Raw genomic sequence first — 19509 nt, 5'->3', positions numbered from 1 at the left:
AAGAAACAGATCAATACACATCAATCATATTAAAAAGGTGCTTCTAAGACAAAGCATATATTATTTTTATTATTCATATTCAATATTTTAGGAATTAAAGCAACGATGTTTCTGCAAATTTATGGTTTTGAATTGATGGTACGTTGTAATAATGCATAGATAGGGTCTGCCTGAGCTTTCACCCCAGGAACTGTAAACTTTATATTACAGTAGTCCCCCCTTATCCAAGGTTTTAGCTTTCCAAGGTTTCATTTACCTGTGGTCAACCATGGTCCAGAAACATTATATGGAAAATTCCAGAAATAAACAATGTATAAGTTTTAAATTGTGAGTCATTCTGAGTAGTGTGAGGAGATCTTGTGCTGTCCTGCTCCATCCTGCCTGGGTCATAAACCCTCTCTCTCGGGGTCCAGCATCTCCACGCTGTAGACACCCCCACCACCAACCAGTCACTTAGTGGCCATCTCAGTTACCAGATCTACTGTCAGGGGGTCTCAGTGCTTAGGTTCCTTTTTTATTTTTGAGACAGAGGCTGGCTCTGTCGCCCAGGCTGGAGTGCAGTGGCATGATCTTGGCTCGCTGTAACCTCCACCTCCTGGGCTTAAGCCATGCTCCCACCTCAGCCTGCCGAGTAGCTGGGACTACAGGTATGTGCCACCGTGACCGGTGAATTTTTGTGTTTTTTGTAGAGGCAGAGTTTTGCCATGTTGCCCAGGCTAGTCTCAAACTCCCGAGCTCAAGTGATCCACCTGCCTTGGACTCCCAAAATGCTGGGATTACAGGTGTGAGCCACTGTGCCTGGCAGGAACTATTATTTGACTTCACAATGGCCTCAAAGTTCCAAGAGTATGATGCTGGCAATCTGGATATGCCAAAAACCAGCCATGAAGTCCTTCCTTTAGTTAAAAGGTGAAAGTTCTCAAGAAAAAAAAAAGTATGCTGAGATTGCTAAGATCTACAGTAAGAATCAATCTTCTATCCATGAAATTGTGAAAAAGGACAAAGAAATTTGTGCTAGTTTTGCTGCTGTACCTAAAACTACAAAAGTTACAGCCACAGTGTGGGCTAAGTGCCGAGCTGAAATGGAAAAGGCATTAAAGGCAAGCGTATACAGGGTTCGGTCCCATCCGCAGTCTTAGGCATCCCCTGGGGATTTTGACATGGATCCCCCGTGGAGAAGGGGGGCTACTGTACAGTACACTTCCCTTCAGCAAGCCGCATATTCAAGTTCTCTATTTCAGATTCCCCTTCGTGACTGTCATGCAGGAAGCAAAGAAAACCCATTGTGTCCAAGGAAATTTTTACTTTCTCTAGGGATTCAGAAACCTGACTTTCTGATACTCAGAAACTCAGTGCGCATGGGTGAGAAGGCTCGGTAGGGAAGAGGTGCTTTGTAGCTCAGGATCTGCTGGAGCTGAGGGCGTTTTTTGGTTTAATCTAGTTTCACTGTGTGTTTCATGGAGAGGTTCCTCTAGGAACAAAAGGTTCTATGGAAGTCACGTCCTTTATCCCTCTTAGCCATCCCTGTGTCTGCCTTAGCCAACCTCCCATTTGTAAAAAGAAAGCAGAGACCAGGCTATGGCTGAATAGTTTCAGACAGCCCCTATACCACTGTCAGCCTTTGCAAAGTGTAATGCTTTAATTACAAGGGTCACACAAGGTCTTAAGACACAGGAGTCCCTGTGTCTGAACGTAATCACTGTGTATGCGTCTCAGCCTAATGAGGAGGTGACTATCATGAAGGTCTGGTGGTGAAGATCTTGCAAGAAGGTGCCTTGTTTGAGATCTTTCAAGGAAACACAGTACTCAATAAATGTGGGTGAGTAGAAATTACAATTTAGTTGGGTTAATTTTTGGTAGTAATATGGAGCTTTGCAAAGAGAAAGGCATTTGCTGAAGACACTGGTAAAATATGTGCTGAAGCTCTGCCTCATCTAGTCTGGTTCAAAAGTCAAATATCAAAGAGTCAAGAGACCCTCCTATTCAGAAGAAAGCCCTGACTTGTTAATTTATTAGAAGCAAGAGTAAATGCTCCATAGGTTTTTCATTAAATAAAATTAGATCTAGTCCCAGGGCTTTTCTGTAATGGGTGCTCCTGAGTCAGGAATCAAGACCCATGAAGTAAGAAAAGAACAGGTAGGCAAGGGGGTACCTTCTCCTCTAACAAAAGTGGCCTATCAGATGGTCAGGGAGTCTCTATCAGTGGAGCCAAACCAGCTCCACTGACACAGTTAAAGACCCTTGCCATCAAGTGCAAAGGGAAGCAGTAGGACTTAGAGTAGGCCATTTCCTACTAAAAATGGAATCATTTTTCAGTTCGGTGTACAGTTGAGCCTTGAGCAACATGGATTTGAACTGCATGGGGCCACTTAAATGTGCATTTTCTTATGACTCCGCTGCTCTTGAGACAGCAAGATCAAGCCCCCTCCTCCTCAGCCAACTCAACGTGAAGACAATGAAGATCAAGATCTTTAAGATGATCCACTTCCACTTAATGAATAATAAATATATTTTGTCGTTATGATTTTCCTAACACTTTCTCTAGCTTACTTTATTGCAGGAATACAGTATATAATCATGTAACATACCAAATACGTGCTAAATGACTGTATGTTATTGGTAGGACTTCTGGTCAGCAGTAGGCTACTAGCAGTTACATTCTGGGAGAGTCAGAAGGTATCCGTAGATTTCTGACTGCACAGGGTTGATATCCCTAGCCCCCATATTGTTCAAGGGCCCACTGTATCTAGGACGTTGGTCAGCACACTTGTACCCCATCAGAATCTCTCAGGAGTCTTCCCTGTGCCACACTCAGTGATTCCCTCATTACAAGATTAGGCATCCCTGTGATGAATGGGCTTTCATTTTGGTTTTTATTTTTGAGTAACCAGCAGGAGTTTACCTGGGATTTGAGGAATGGATAACATGACCTTTTTTCCCAGTATATAAAGGGCTTTACCTAAAAGGGCCCAGCTATTTCTTTAATAAAAGTGAGTAGTGGGGCTATGACTGATGATTATCTGTCAGAGAATAAGTGGGATTATTGTGTTTTTAGGTAACGTCCCAGAAACTGTGGCTGTCCCTTACCCTGAGTGAGAAGGTTCTGGTGCATGCAGAGTCAAATTGTGTGTTTCTATCCCTCTGAACCCTGTGCAGAGAGAAAAGTTGGTCAGCTTCCATTTCTCTTGGCTTACCAGTTCTAGTACCAAGAATTCTGTTACTATAATATGAGGAGCCCCATTCTTTCCTTTTTATAGTAGAAAAAGCAATTCTACTAGGCTTATCCAGAAAGGCATGCTAGAAGCAACTCCCTTAAGCCAGCCTAGCAGGATTTCCAGGACGAGTGTTCATGCCCCAGGGCTGCTTAGGAGGTGAGGAGTCACTCCCAGGGTGACCGCTCCTGAGGCCGCTACAGTACGCCTGGCTGTGAAGAGGCAGGCGAGCCCTCCTGACCAGGCAATTTCCTCCTCATCATGGCGTCGAGGGTAACAGCAGCAGCTCCTGGAAGCTGTTGCCTCCTCCTATGAGAACTAAGTCAGAGGCTGAGAGTGTGCTGGGGGAGGGGACACAGGTCTTCCCACCTCTCAGTCGGGGACCTCCCCAGGTACCCAGGGAAGGGGTGGGGCCTCCCAGGCACCCGCCCAGCATCAAGAAGAGGGCTGAGAAGCTACAGTTCCAGAGTGGGAGGGAAAGGACACTCGCCAGAGCAGGCTGATCCCAGAGCCCCAAACTCCTCTGGTGTCCACTTGGGCCCAGGAAGGGAGACAGTTGTCAGGGCTCTGGTCTGACCCACTGACCACAGGCCACAATGGCGACAGACCGCTCCTCAGAGGATTCAAAACTTTTCTCTGGAGGAGACAAGACTAGGTTGTTGAAGACAGACAATTTCCTGGATCAAGGGGAAAAAAAATCCACAGAAAAATAAATATGTCCTCAGACCTACCATTCCTCTTCAGGGTAAAATGCAATGAATTGCGGGCTTCTGAGCTAACAAGGCCAAGTTAGGCCAAGGGCAGTTCACAGCTGATCATTTGCTAAGAAACAAAAGCCTAAAAGGCCCGATTAGCTCGAGCTCGCCACATCCAGCAACAACCTGGAGCGGCCGTCAGCGCAGGGCTGGGTACTGCCCGCGGCCACAGGCCTTGTCAGGTGCAGGTGGCCAGCTGTTCCTCATGCTCTGCAGACGGGACAAGAAGGGCTGCATTCAATCCAGGGAAGGTAGAGGCTTCTTTCTTTCCCAGGAGCCAAGGAGACAGTCACATGAAGAGGCTGAGAAATCAGGACTCAGGGGTGAAGGGTAACTCTGCCACTGCCCACAGGAGAACACACGCTTCATAGGGCTCACCCCATCATTTTATTTGTTTATAGTATTCCTGAGATTTCCCTACCGTATACTGTCCAAACTTGCTATTCAACAAGGATTACCACAGTTCTTTTTAGGAACAATCCTTGCTACAGTACTCTCTGGATGATTTAAACAATTATTTCTTAACAACTCTCTTCCCATCATCCACAGGGTCACTGCCTTGCCCCTAAAGCCGCCGTCTCTCACCTGCACTACCCGAATGAGCACTGAGAACTTAAAGCTGTATAATATCAAATCATTAACATGCAGAAAATAGTATAACTTTCAGTAGTATTTTCTTATTCACTGAATTTCCAACAGGAATTAGAAACTCCACATCTAACTTAGTTGCCTTGAGGAAGCAGCTATGGCAACCAGAAAGTTCCCAGGATCCTGTCTCCTAAAGGTAAATAAAACTTTACTCTTAGGTGTGAAATATTTCCACACTGCTAGTTATTGAGTGGTAACATTGTGCCAGGAACTGTACTAAGTGTTATGCATGCACCAACTCATTTAATTCTCACTGTCGCCAATGAGGTAGATGGTACAATCACTCTCATTTTACAGACCCAGAAACTGTGCCGAGAGAGCGTAAATGAGGCCAAGCAAATAGCCAGTAAATTAGTATGCACTTGACTTTAAAGCAGGTGCCCTCGGTCATTACCCGGTAAATTACCTTTTGTATATAAACAGATGGGATAGAATTACTGAAGTAGTAACTATAACATTTGAAAAGGAATTCAAGAAAGGAAGCAAGATAATTAATTTCTGTAGAGATTTAATACCACAAAACTAAAATATGGCAGAATAAAGTGACGAGCTTCAGAGTCTAAAGTTTTCATTCATTCTACTCCCTTATTCAACTGCCCTGCCCCACCCCTCAACCAGGTACTCTGGGGACTGACCTCAGAGTCCCCCAGTTTTGCTATGAGGAACTAAGAAAGGTGACTGTGTGACACATGAAGGTGATTTTGATACCTATGAATTTGTATTTAGGTGCAGTGTGTACACCAGCTGGTTGCCACTGGATGCTTATTTGTGATTCAGATTTCTGTCCTATTGAAATTGGTCCATTTCCACAATACCTGGAATGTTGTCCACCACAAAATATGTACCTATCAAATACTTGGATAAATGAATGAGTAAATGGATCACAAACTTCCATGGGTATGCAAACTAAGGGTGGGGGGTGGACAGGACTTTCTCTTCCTCACTTCTGCTAATTTCAAACTAGTGACTTGGAAAGATACTTAATATGTTTTGCTTTTTTCACAATATTAGTGCTAATTAAATACAGTGTCAGTTATCACATCCCTTACAAACACATGTAGGTGGTCTCCAGAACAGGATTAATATCTAAATGACTAAGGAATTAAAACACTGGTATTTGAAGCTTTGACAAATATTTTTACTATCTGAGTTTCCAAGGCAAAGTATCAGTTCACAGGCAACAAGAGGAAACTGCCCAGTAATGTATAAAAAATATTAGTAGTTGGTTTAAATCTCAAAATTTTACAACATTCCTATTAAAAATTACACAAACAGCATTAATTTTCTCTTCTATGCTGATTATTCTTTTTTCCTCTCCTTATATAATGACCTTCCTGCACAGTATGTGATACCATTAAAAAGAGAGAGAATGAGCATAGGAAAATGAAAGGAACTCTGTGCTTCATATCGAAATCATCTCATTTGAGAAGAGACAATAACGTCCTAGAAAATATATATTAACTGAAATGTATGTGCTTTGTTGCTTTTGGGGGGTCAAGTTTGTTTTAAAAAAATAAAACAAATTAACATACACAATTTGGGCTACTTCTGCATTAATTATGATTTCTAGGGAAGAAAGCAGAATACTACATAGAGAATATTTAAAAACAAGCCTGTCTTCATAGCCACTATGATGACCATAATAAAAAAGACAATAACGAGTGTCAGTGAGGATGTGGGAAGAACTGGATCGCTCCCATTGCTGGTGGGAGGGTAAAATGGTGCAGCCACTTTGGAAAACAGTGTGAGAATTCCTCATAAAGTTAAACATAGAGTTACTACACCACCTGGAAATTCCACTTCTAGGTATACACCCAAGAAAAATTAAAACCTTGTCGCCCCAAAAACTCGTACATGAATGTTCATAACAGCATTATTCACAGTAGCCGAAAAGACAGGAACCAACACCCACCAACTGACAGGTAAATAAAATGTTAAGGTATATCCATACAATGGGATGTTATTTGCCCATACACAGGAATGATGTACTGGCATGTGCTACAATGTGGATACCAGTATGTAAGTGAAAGCCACAAAAGACGACATACTGTATGATTCCTTTCCTAAGAAATGTCCAGAATAAGCTATACACAGACAGAAAGTAGATCAGTGGCTACCACAGGCGGGAGGGGTGGAAGGGGTGAGGAGTGAATGCTAATGGGTAGGGGGCTTCTTTTTGGGGTGATGAAAATGTTTTAAAATATTACAGTGATGGCAGCACAGCTCTGTGGACAGTCTAAAAACCAGTGAATCGCTGGGTGCTGTGGCTTGCACCTATAATCCCACTTACTTGGGAGGCTGAAGCAGGAGGACCACTTGAGCCCAAGAGTTCAAGGCTGCAATGAGCTGTGACCAAGCCACTGCACTCCAGCCTGGGCAACAGAATGAGACCTCAGCTTGAATAATAATGCTAATAATAATGCTAATAATAACAAGTGTTAGCATATGTCCCAAATATTGAATGAAACATAATTATACTAAAAATGTATTTGCTGCTTATCTCTTAACAAAAGAAACAACAAAAACAAGAAACAAAACCCACTGGATCCTACATTTTAAGTGGGTGAATTATACGTTAATTGTATCTCAATAAAATTGCTACAAAAGTCCTTAGAGGCAGATATTTGAAAATTCTCTGTAAATCAAACAGTCAAAGAATTCTGGCCTGCAAAATGGACATATACGGCCAGGCACAGTGGCTCACACCTAGCACTTTGGGAGGCCAAGGTGGGAGGATCGCTTGAGACTAGGAGTTCGAGACCAGCCTGGGCAACGTGGTAAAATCCCTTCTCTACAAAAAATACCTAAAAAATTAACCAGGCATGGTGGCGCATTCCTGTAGTCCCAGCTACCTGGGAAGCTGAGGTGGGAGCATCACTTGAGCCCAGGAGGTCGAGGCTGCAGTGAGCCATGACTGTACCACTGCACTCCAGCCTGGGCCACAGAGTGAGATCCTGTCTCAATATGAGAGAGAGACAGAGACAGAGACAGAGACAGAGAGAGAGAGAGAGAGAGAGAGAGAGAAACAGTAAATACATAAAATTATAAGAATGGCAACAAAAGCAGCAACGTTGCAATAAACTTAAGGAATTTGCTTCCAAAGGCTAATACATAAAATGTGTAGTAAGCAGGACGTTCACTATACCATCAAAAATAACTTTCGGATACATAAAGGAAAAACATGGGCCTTTATCTTGGAAATTCCACTAAAAGTCAAATTAACTCATTTGCATTTAAAATTGAAGAAGAAAAGAGGTTTAGTTTATGACAGTTTTGGCCTATTTTAGACAGGTATTTATTAAATATTTATTAAAATGCTTGAGCTTGAAATAATACTATAGGTACCAGAAAGAAAACAAATATGAGCAATTCAATTCCCTACCTTCTGTTCGATAAAACTCACTTCTCATGGCAGGTGGCACAGGGAACTCTACCCAGGGGGTTCATCAAAATTCCCTTAGAATAATTGAAAAGCATCTGCATTTTTTCTCCAGAAACCACAAAAAAGTCACAGTAAGCAGAACAGACAACCTTGATTATTAGCACTGTGCCTGTGGCAGCACAATGTGTTGTCCCCAGAAATTAAGTTACAAGACACGATGTCATTGTGCGATAAGCCAGAGATGTCTCCCCTAATGAGACTGGAAAACTCAAGGAAATCAAAAGATAGACAATGATGATAATAAGTTGCATGTGTCATTTTGCTACTGCTGCGAAGCAAACTGCATATTGTGCCAAATGCAATCACTCTCGGAGCAGGCTAGGGGTGGGATAGACTCTAGAGGTCACCGACCCCGACCTTTCATTTTACAACAAAGAAAACTGAGGTTTACGAAGGTCACACAACCAGTTTAAGGCATCACTGGGACTAGAGATGAGATTTTTCAAGGCTCTCTTCGTGAAATATATTTTTCTGTCTGAGTGTATGTACTATAGAGAGTGTAACCTAAGAAATAGAAAATTCTTAGGAATTTCTGAGAGCTATACTGGTAAAACTCCACAGAGCAGTACTGTAATTGCCCATCTGTGAAAGAGTACAACCAGAGTTTGGGGACACTCAAAATTCCAATCAAAGTGGCCTGAGTGCCACCCTAAGGGCAGGAGAAAACTGTAGTTTGACATCGTTTGGGTCTGTGCCTATTGTTTAGGTAGCTGAAGCCTAATCGACTGCAGGGGGCCTTTCTGTGGGAAGATAACAGCAGCGCAGAGGCAAAGAAAAGGGAAGGCACGGCGGTGGCCCTTGTGGGGCGTTCTGGGAGAAGAGATTAATTCACCAAGTCCCTGCGCGGCACAGGTACACCACGTCACCGTTTGCTCTGATTACCACATAAACCAAACTAGTTTGAAATTAAGGTGACTAATGAGTTTCCTAATTATTCCATTCTAGATGGCAGAATATTTAGTCAATATTCTGGAGGGCAGACTTAAAGATTTGGTCACTGGAAGAAACATTCCTCCCCTCAAGCTAATAAATGCATATTCTGGCTTAGCTATCAATCCCTGTGAGTTTGCTCACTATAGGTCAGTTTCCTAAAATCTGGTTACTTCTAGGTTCACAGTGTATTAATCAGGTTTAAATTTTTTTTTTTTTTATCTTATGATACTTTAACATTTTCCAGGGACTTACAGACCCAGAAAGACACTGCCTCTCCCAAGACCAGCTAATTCCTCAATTTAGTAAAGAACTTGGAAGTAAGCCAGCTGCCCATTTTCTCTAACACACACCAAGCCAGTATTTTCCCTGCCTTAAAACATCCCAGGGCCAGATACCAGGCAAATAGAGACCACCCCAAAGCCCACCATCATTATTCAAACCAGCCACGCACTGCCTTTCCCGAGGAAGCCCCACTAAGGTTCCCACCCACACTTTTCTCTGGCTCCTTTCTGCCTCCTGACCCACACTGGTGGTTCCCCTGTGCCCTGCATGGAGGGGTGTGCCCCCTTCTCTTAGGTGATGAAGTAATAAATTCTCCTCTCAAGGGCATTAACCTCTCCTCGTCGGCACTCAGTCACTTCCATAAATGAAAATACGCAGGTACCTTTCCAAACACCCTGCAAAATCAACACCAGATCTGCAGGACCACCGAGGGCCAGACTGCAGACTGGGGAGTAGATGGAGGCAGGAAGCAGAGAACTCTCCCCGGTAGACAGGGGAGGGTCCCCGGAGAACCTCTGACCCACCAAGGTCGTCGTGCCCAGGGACCTTGCCCAAACATGCTTGCGGTGGAAAAGTTCTGTCCCTTAACACATGCGCAGTAAGGGAAATAAATCAATGTAGAGTGGCTCAGACTAAGGGCCCACGTCTGCATTGGAAGGACGGGTGGAGCCGCCAGGAATTCGCGCTTACAGAAATAGGGAACGCAGCCCCATCAGCAGGTATATAAAAGCCCTTGTATTCCACTGTGAAGGGAGAACCACAATCTGCTTTCAAGACCCTTCCTTTAAGTTTTCCTTTCCCTTAGTGCATTCTACTCCACTCACTCTCCAAGTGTCCGCCTGCCTACTTCTTCCCAGTCCTGAGACAAGAACCTGGACTCTGCTGAGCTAAGGAGCAAAATATCCTTGTCACAAGAGACAAGGCCCACAGAGCTCCGGGTGGGCCCCAGTGTCCCCTTCTCCCTAGTTGGCCTGCACACGAGAAGCACCGCCATTGGGAAGATCCAGGCTTACGGAAAGCTCACCTGTGTTGTGTCTGCACACAGAACACACACACAGCATGTACTTATGTTAGTTCATCTTCAACAAGTTGCTAAGTTGATAGCACAATATTGAATTGAACTTTTACTCTAGACAGATGTGGCATTAACAGAGAAGATCCACAGAGAAAACTCTACCGATGGGCAAATTTGAACTGTGAAATGTTTGCTGTGTTTGAGAAGAAACTTAGATACTATCAAGTATCCAAAAAATCCAGGCCTACCTCATTTTATTAGGCTTCACTCTATTGTGTTTCAAGGATAATGCACTTTTTACAATTTAAAGGTTTGTGGCAACCCTTTATCTATTGCCACCATTTTTTCCAACAGCATGTGCTTACTTCACATCTGTGTGTCTCATTTTGGTAATTCTTGCAGTATTTCAAACCTCTGCATTATTAGGAAACCCATTTTCGTCGTTATCTGTTGTGGTGATCTGTCATCGCTGATCTTTGATGTTACCATTGAAATTGTTTTGGGGAACCACAAACTGTGCCCATGTACGATGGTAAACTATAATAAACGTTGTGTGTGTTCTGACTGCTCCACTATCTGGCCAATCCCCCATCTCTCTCCCTCTCCTTGGGCCTCCCTATTCCCCAAGACACAACAGTATTGAAATTAAGCCAATTAATAACCCTACAGTGGCCTCTAAGTGTTCAAGTGAAAGGAAGAGTCACATGTCTCTCACTTTAAATCAAAAGCTAGAAATGATTAAGCTTACTGAGAAAGCATGTGGAAAGCTGAAACAGGCCAAAAGCTAGGTCTCTTGTGCAGTTACTCAAGTTGTAAATGCAAAGGAAAAATGTCTTGAAGAAAATTAAAAGTGCTGCTCCAGTGAACACATGGATGATAGGAAAGTGAAATAGCCTTGTTGCTGATATGAAAAGTTTTTTTATTTTTATTTTTTGAGACAGAGTCTCACTCTGTCGCCCAGGCTGGAGTGCAGTGTTGTGACCTTGGCTCACTGCAACCTCCGCCTCCCGGGTTCAAGCGATTCTCCCGCCTCAGCCTCCCGAGTAGAGTGGCTGGGACTACAAGCGTAAGCCACCATGCCCAGCTAGTTTTCATATTTTTATTTTTTAATTTAATTTTATTTTTTATTTTTATTTTTTTGCAGAGACAAGTGAACATTTATTTTTGGGCCTTTCTTCCTATGTGTATTTCAAGTCTTTTTCAAAACAAGGCCTCAGGAATCTCCAGATTCAATTATGTCCCTGGGCTTGGTCGACTGCTGCCAGAGTCTTAGGGGGTCTTGTACAAATGCTAGAGTTACTCATTTAGCAACATTAAACCCAAGGATAGAAGATGCACATGGAATGTGTTGATTTAGACGAGGCAGCTGCCAATGTAGAAAACTCTGGAATTTTTCCTTGGGAATGACTGTGATGAGAGGTGCCCGCCATAAACATAAGCTACTGTCTTTTCTTTGACCCTTCCTTTCCAGTTTTTGAAGATTAAGCAGGAAATAATCTTCTCTGAAGATACTTGATAAAAATTCCCCAAAAAAACCCAAAACACACGCTTCCACTTCACTGATAAAAATGTACTGCAGTTTGGCACCTGGGTCTAGTTCAGCTGGCGGATGAGCTGATTGACGTGTTCACCCCGATAGCCAGGTGTGCCCATCTCGAGGAAGCCCACTCTATTTTTGGTAGCATGATGGGCCACTGAGAGGTGGAAACGACGCAAGAACCATGAAGTCTCCTGGAAATACTTCCCCAGGTGCTCCGCAACCACTGTGTTGTCTGTCAGAGGGATGGTCTTATTCTTGACCTTGACCACGTTTCAAAATCAGTTCCCAGAGAAAATTCAGATTTGGAAATCCCCAGGTCACATAAGATCCCATTACATGCAGCAGGGGGTGACTTTTACAAAGACACCACTAAAAACTTTCTTTAGGCAAAATCTTGCAATGGTTTTCTGCACCAGTAAACTCACACGCCATCAAACTTTTTTTGTTTTGTTTTGTTTTGTTTGTTTTTTTTTGAGACAGAGCCTAACTCTGTCGCCCAGGCTGGAGTGCAGTGGTGAGATCTCGGCTTACTGCAACCTCAGCCTCCGGGTTTCAAGCGATTCTCCTGCCTCAACCTCCCGAGTGAGTAGCTGAGACTACAGGCGCCTGCCACCACGCCCAGCTAATACTGTATTTTTAGTAGAGATGGGGTTTCACTGTGTTGGCCAGGCTGGTCTTGAACTCTTCACCTTGTGATCCGCCCGCCTCGGCCTCCCAAAGTGCTGATATTAGAAGCATGAGCCACCGTGCCCGGCCACACCATCAATCCTTTTGATACGTACAAGAAAGGCCAAGGAATGTTTATCTGGCAATTCCAAAGCATGAGGTTTCACTTCTAGTCGTCTGAGACCCACCTTGTCATGTTTCTGCCGCCAGGAATCATGTAGGATTCCAGTCCCTTAAACCTGAGCCCTTTTCCTTTCCTTTGTTCCTCTTTGCCAAAAGTACCTGCTTTGCCTGGGTAGCTCTGAAGGCTTAATAAGCCTTCCTCTTTTTCAGGAGATTTTCTGGAACCAAAGGGATTCTTTTTTTTTTTTTTTTGAGACGGAGTTTCACTCTTGTTGCCCAGGCTGGAGTGCAATGGCGCAATCTTTGCTCACCACAACCTCCGTCTCCTGGGTTCAAGCGATTCTCCTGCCTCAGCCTCCCTAGTAGCTGGGATTACAGGAATGTGCCACCACGTCCGGCTAGTTTTGTATTTTTAGTAGAGACGGGGTTTCTCCATGTTGGTCAGGCTGCTCTCGAACTCCCGACCTCAGGTGATCCACCCGCCTCAGCCTCCCAAAGTGCTGAGATTACAGGCATGAACCACCGCGCCCAGTCAAAGGGATTGTTTCTTTGTTCTTGCTCCACCATCTTTCTATTGTTGCAGCTCAATTTTTGTATTTTTAGTAGAGATGGAGTTTCACCATGTTGGCCAGGCTGGTCTCGAACTCCTGACCTCAAGTGATCCGCCCCTCTCGGCCTCCCAAAGTGCTGGGATTATAGGTGTGAACCACTGTGCCCAGCCTAAGTTTTAGTGGTCTCCATAGACAATCAAACCAGCCACAACATTCACTTAAGCCAAAGCCTACTCCAGAGCAAGGCCCTAGCTCTCTTCAATTCTACACAGGATGAGAGAGGCGAGGAAGCTGCAAAAGAAAAGTGTGAAGCTAGCAGAAGTTGATTCATGAGGTTTAAAGAAACTATCTCCATAATATAAAAGTGCAAGGCAAAGTACCAAGTGCTGATGAAGAAGCTGCAGTAAGTCACGCAGAAGGTCTAGTTAAGATCACCGATGAAGGTGGCCACACTAAACTACAGATTTTCAGTGTAGACAAAACAGCCTTCTGTTGGAAGAAGATGTCATCTAACTTTCACAACTAGAGAGGAGAAGTAAACCTCTGGCTTCAAAGGACAGGCCAACTCTCTTGCTAAGGGCTAATGCAACTGCTGACTTTTAGTTGAAGCCAGTGCTCACTTACCATTCTGAAAATCCCAGGGCCCTTAGGAATGATGCTAAGTCTACCCTACCTGTACTCTAGGACGCAAAAACAAAGCCTGGATGACAGCACATCTGTTTAGGGCATGGTTTACTGAATATTTAAAACCTGCTGTGGAGACCTACTGCTCAGAAAAAAATATTTCCTTAAAAATATTACTACTCATTGACAATGCACCTTGTTACCTGGGAGCTCTGACGGAGATATACAAGGAGATGAATGTGGTTTTTGTGCCTGCTAACACGACATCCATTCCGCAGCCCATGGATCAAGCAGTCGTTTCAGCTTTTAAGTCTTATTATTTCAGAAATACATTTGGAAGACTACAGCTGCCACAGTGTTTCCTCTGATGGATCTGGGCAAAGTAAATTGAAAACCTTCTTCACCACTCTAGATGCTATTAAGAACATTTGTGTTGAATTCACATGGGAAGAGGCCAAATTATCAACATGAACAAGAGTTTGAAGAACTGGATTCTAACCCTCATGGGTGACTTTGAGGGGTTCAAGAAGTAACTGCAGATGTAGGGAAAACAGCAAAAGAACTAGGAGTGGAGCTTGGACATGTGACTGAATTGCTGCACTCTCACAATCAAACTTGATGCCAGGCGCGGTGGCTCACGCCTGTAATCCCAGCACTTTGGGAGGCCAAGGCGGGTGGATCATGAGGTCAGGAGATCAAGACGATCCTGGCTAACAGGGTGAAACCCCGTGTCTACTAAAAATACAAAAAATTAGTCTGGAATGGTGGCGGGCACCTGTAGTCCCAGCTACTCAAGAGGCTGGGCAGAAGAATAGCTTGAACCCGGGAGGCAGAGCTTGCAGTGAGGGGAGACTGTGCCACTGCACTCCAGCCTGGGCAACAGAGCAAGACTCCATCTCAAAAAAAGAATGTGCCCACTCCTCCCCCGCTATACAAGAGTAACTGGCTCAGGAAGCAGAGAAATCCGGACCTCAGCTGTCTGGCCCGTTAAGTGGCTGGTGTCTAAGCCTCAACACAGAAGAACTGGTTTTGTCCCATCAAATTGCTCTCCACCCAACAGTCAGGAATAACTAACTCCCAACCACCCAGATGCTCATGTGAAGGAAGCCACATTTGTTACTAGATCTGGGTTTGGTCCTACAGCTGCTCTTCTGATATAAACCACTCTGAGCAAATCCCTTACTTCCTGTCCGTGTTACTGCATCTGAAACATGGGGATTCTACTGGTGATCTCAAAGGGGAGACTTCAATGAGAATGACAAACATACGGTGCTAGGTACCTACAGGCACTCAGCAAGCAACGATCGTCCCCCGGCCAACCTACTTTACAGTCACTCAAAAAGTGGCTGAGACAGGAAAGGAGTGGTACAATCTTTTGGCCATGGTGAACTGTAAAGGTAACTGTGTTTGTTTTGTTTTGTTTTGTTTTTTGAGACGGACTGTCCCTCTATCGCCCAGGCTGGAGTGCAGTGGCGCAATCTCAGCTCACTGCAACCCCCGCCTCCTGGGTTCATGCAATTCTCCTGCCTCAGCCTCCCAAGTAGCTGGAACTACAGGCACAAACCACCACACCCAGCTAATTTTTGTATTTTTAGTAGAGATGGGGTTTCACCATGTTGGCCAGGCTGGTCTCAAACTCGTGACCTCAGAAGGGTAATTGTTAGAACCTATCCACTAATTCTTTCCCTAACCCCTAAATCAGGTAGAGATTCTATTTCAAACGAGGGTACTTTGACTTTGCAGTGTTGCTATGTTCCCTGATGCTTGGTAATTACCTTAGGTAATTAACACGGATACCTTAGGAATTACCTTAGCTGTTCCCCTCACAATCTTGAGAATTTACACCATACAAAACATATGCCGGCTTGGGAAGGCTATTTCTCAGGAACACACACTTGAGATGCTGACTACTGTGTGGCTTCCTACGTGTCTTGTCAGGCATCCTGCCATATACTTCCTTGCACAAGGGGGGAAGCGCCACAAAATATTAAATAGCCAAACAATTAAATAGTAGCTGCAAAAAGAACAGAAGAACTTCACAGATGTCACTGTGAAGTGATGCTTATCACACTCTAATATGTCTCACCAGCAGGATTACGGGGCTTTTACAAAACTGAAGACAAAATGAAGAGCAGCAGCTTCTAGAATAAGGTATTGAGCTGCACACGCACTGTATACCCAAAATGTGTCTTTGGTAAGCAGTAACAGTACATCTACTCAAATGGTAAAAAGAACCCAAATGAACACAATGCAATCACACAAACTAGACTTTGCCCTAAATTCCATGAATGGCTGTCCATGGTAGACCTGGTTCATGATCCAATATGAGGAAGATAAAGAAAAAGTACCCCTTACACACTTCCAAACAGCTATTCGCTAAACATGTTCCTAAAGCAAATCCAGTATCAGGACGGGTAAAGTTTATTTTCTTCGCATAAGGTATTCAAGTAGGTCATGACATGTGTACTTTGTAAGCTTCCAGCCACTAAGTTTCACATCTGTTCTGGAGTCTCTCCCCAACCAAGCTGTGTGCAGCCATTTGGCAATATTTGGAGACAATTTTAGTTGTTATATCTGGAGACATGTTCTGACATCTAGTTGGTGGACGCCAAGGATGCTGCTAAACATCCTATTACGCATAGGGCAGTCTCCCACAACAGAGAATTGTCCAAAATGTTAATACTGCCCAAACAGATAACACTGCCCTGCTCTAGGGCAAAAATAAAAATTATCACTGTCTATAAGACTTGAAATAACTCAGACTGAATCTAAAGAATTATACAGATGATAAGTAAACTTAAAAGATACAGTTGATGACACTATGGACCTAATTATACTTTAGATCCTATCATGTCACTCCCTGATTTTAAAAAAGTATGTATTATGAAAGTACATGTTAATTAGCACAAATAATCAAATGTTTGTCCTATCTTCTCATTCTGAAAAGGATCCAGAACACTGCTCCTAAGCTTGGCTCATGGGGCCAGGAATATCATGTGTCTTTTGGTATTGACTTTCCAAACTAGATAGTAATTCTACATTAATGTTCAAAATATATTGCAAATTCTAGTCCTGGTGCATTTTAAGCCGATTTCGACATCAGACATGGGGGGTCAGCTTTTCTAGGAACAGATCTGGGAATCTGTATTTTCACCAGGATTTCCTGGTCATCCTCAGGCATGATAAAACTTGAGAACCACTGACTCAGATTTTTCTTCTATAAGAGAAGAGCTGCCATTCCCACTTCCTTCTCACTATAAATTAAAGAGTGACAATCAAATAATTCATAGGTACAAGAGATCGATAGTCCACAGTAACATATGACAGTGCCCTGAAACAGCCTACCTAAAATGATATCCCTTTAAAAGTGAGGCCAGTAGAAGAAAGAACATCTCATAGGCACTGTCATAAAATGTCCTATATCAGAATGGTTTTGCCATTCTTTCCATCTGAATATATTTTAAGCAGCACAGTTTAAACACAAGGCACCAAATTCTTCCCTGGTCAAGTTTGGTGTTGGTGATTCGCAAGATTCTTCAAGGAAACAGATGTTTTTAAGCACCCTGCCACCACAAGGTACACATTTAAGTATGTGCTTTCTATTCCATATTCACTTACAAAACATTAACTATGTTAAGGGGTCATAACCAGGGGATTAACACAAATTTGGTTTTTCAAATAAAAGGGAACAATATTTTCCCTCTGGATTTTTCTGTAGGCCAAGCACCAAATTGAAGACTCGGTGGAGACTATCACTTCAGATGATAGCATGTCTCCAAGCAAGACAAATGAAAGGGAAAATGAAGCAAAGGGAGAGTGGGGAGCTACAATAAAAACCGAGCTATTCTTTGCCAAGTGCCTGCTATTTTCAGGCATTTTACAAACGTTTTCTTTTTCAGCCCTTGCCATCTCCATAAAAGCAGATAATATCTATTCTGTTGATGAAAAAATTGAGGACCAGGGAGGTTAGGCAACCTGTTCAAATTCACAAAGCTAAGAGACAGGTGATCTGCGATTCAAATGCAGGAAGACAAACTCTACTTATTCCTCCCCCACCCCTGCCCGATCCTGTTCACTAGCAATCTGGCAGTGGTTCGTGGTAATTTCCTGTGAACACATAACTTGTAATCTCAAATATTTTAAATGGAAAACACTGCAAGAAGTATTCCATGTCTAATTTTTACCACTCACTCTAAGGTGTGCTATGGCTTATTCATCTTAGCAATTGAATGGAATCAAGTAAGCTGACATATGTAGAATCATTCTAAAGCCCTAAAGCACCATACACGCGTAAGGCATTATTTATAAATATTAATTTTACTTTGAAGATCTTTGGCAGGTGGCAACAGATCCTGAGATACTTTGAAATAACTTAGTGATACCCTAGGATACTGTGAAATCATAACTGAGGTTACAATGAACTGGCTTCTAATAGTATATATAAATGATTTCAATAATAAACATGTCATCATTTTGTAAGTGACTCCATTAGAGAGGACAAGCCTCCACCTTAGCTGTGGGCATTTCCTGGAGCTCCATTCTGGGCCTGGCCTCTGCTTTGCCATTGTCCCTTTGGCAGGTTCATCTACTGCATGGCTTAGGACCTCACCTCTGCTGGGGCATCAACTTACGTGCTCACTCTTAATCTTCTTCTTGCTCTCCAGACCAGAAATTTCCCTTATATCATAGATGTCTCTTGGCATTTCAAACTTAAATTGGTTAAATCCATCTTTTTAATAGAGTCCACCTTTTCTCTGGTACAATTCTTCTCTTCTTCCTGTTTTTCCTCCCTAACTGCATCAGTTATCACCTCTAGAAATCTCAGAATTATCTTCAATTCTGCCCAATACATAGAATTGTACACTGGATTCTAAAGAAGTGGCTCTCAAATGTACCCTCTTCTTTCTTTGCCTACTCCCATAAGTTGTCAAAAAAAAAAAAAAAAAAAAAAACCACACCAATAAAACCAACCACCTCTGATGAGATTATGATTCTTCTTTCAACTCCTTCAATGAACCTCAGAATCTAGGGAATGCCACCCAACCTCCTTGGAATGGTCTTGTGTCATCTTGCCCCCAACAGACTAATTTCATCTTCCAAAGGGATCTTTGTTGCCCTGCCCATCACCCTCATAAGCCAATCTGCTCTTCCTTAAACACTTGGGACATCTTAATACCTCTGCGCCTTTATTAATTTCATTCCGTCCTCTTTCTCCATCATCAGTACAGAGTGCAGTTTCTACAACCTGCTATCTCCAGGCTCACTGTTCCCTCTATCTGAAATGCCTTCTCCTGCAAACTCAATTCATCCTTAAAGTCACAGCATGAGCTATAAACACTGAAAAACTGTTCACAATTTCTCCACTTTCTTCACCTCAGCCCCAGAATCCCTCTACTTCGTATACACCTCTGTTAGCGTTCTTATCACGGTAATCAGTCATTTACATTTCTCTATCCTTAGGTGACAATGGGCCCAATGACTGCAGGGATATTTGTTTCCTTTGAATTGCCAGAATTCAGTGTCTGTCACCAGTGTAAGATGACTGACTGACTCTCATGACTACCATTAAATGCTAGGTTTTGTGCTCATTTTCAAAAAGTAATGTCTAATAAGATATGAAATACAGTTCTTCTTTTCCCTGTGTTTATTGAGGTGTACTTGACAAATAAAATGCAAATTCTTAACCAGAGACCTACGCCCTATGGACTGTACTGTTTA

General features: G+C 43.1%; 1 protein-coding gene, 2 long non-coding RNA genes and 1 pseudogene across 34 annotated transcripts in view; 2 read left to right on the top strand and 2 right to left on the bottom strand.

The window, feature by feature from the left end:
- PCCA (propionyl-CoA carboxylase subunit alpha) overlaps positions 1-19509 on the bottom strand; it is a 441343-nt gene that overhangs the window by 48356 nt on the left and 373478 nt on the right. The gene's annotated exons all lie outside the window — the stretch shown is intronic.
- Positions 873-2533, top strand: LOC107984574 (uncharacterized). Its single transcript, XR_007063850.1, has 3 exons — positions 873-960; positions 1650-1819; positions 2317-2533. It is a non-coding gene; the product is annotated as an uncharacterized LOC107984574 (long non-coding RNA).
- Positions 1065-17643, top strand: PCCA-AS1 (PCCA antisense RNA 1). The gene is made up of 5 exons (NR_047686.1): positions 1065-1100; positions 4667-4751; positions 8764-8909; positions 15881-15942; positions 17510-17643. It is a non-coding gene; the product is annotated as a PCCA antisense RNA 1 (long non-coding RNA).
- RPL7L1P6 (RPL7L1 pseudogene 6) lies at positions 11725-12858 on the bottom strand (annotated as a pseudogene).

The sequence above is a fragment of the Homo sapiens genome, chromosome 13 (assembly GCF_000001405.40).
Source record: "Homo sapiens chromosome 13, GRCh38.p14 Primary Assembly".
NCBI lineage: Eukaryota > Metazoa > Chordata > Mammalia > Primates > Hominidae > Homo > Homo sapiens.
This window is presented reverse-complemented; position numbering and strand designations above follow the sequence as displayed.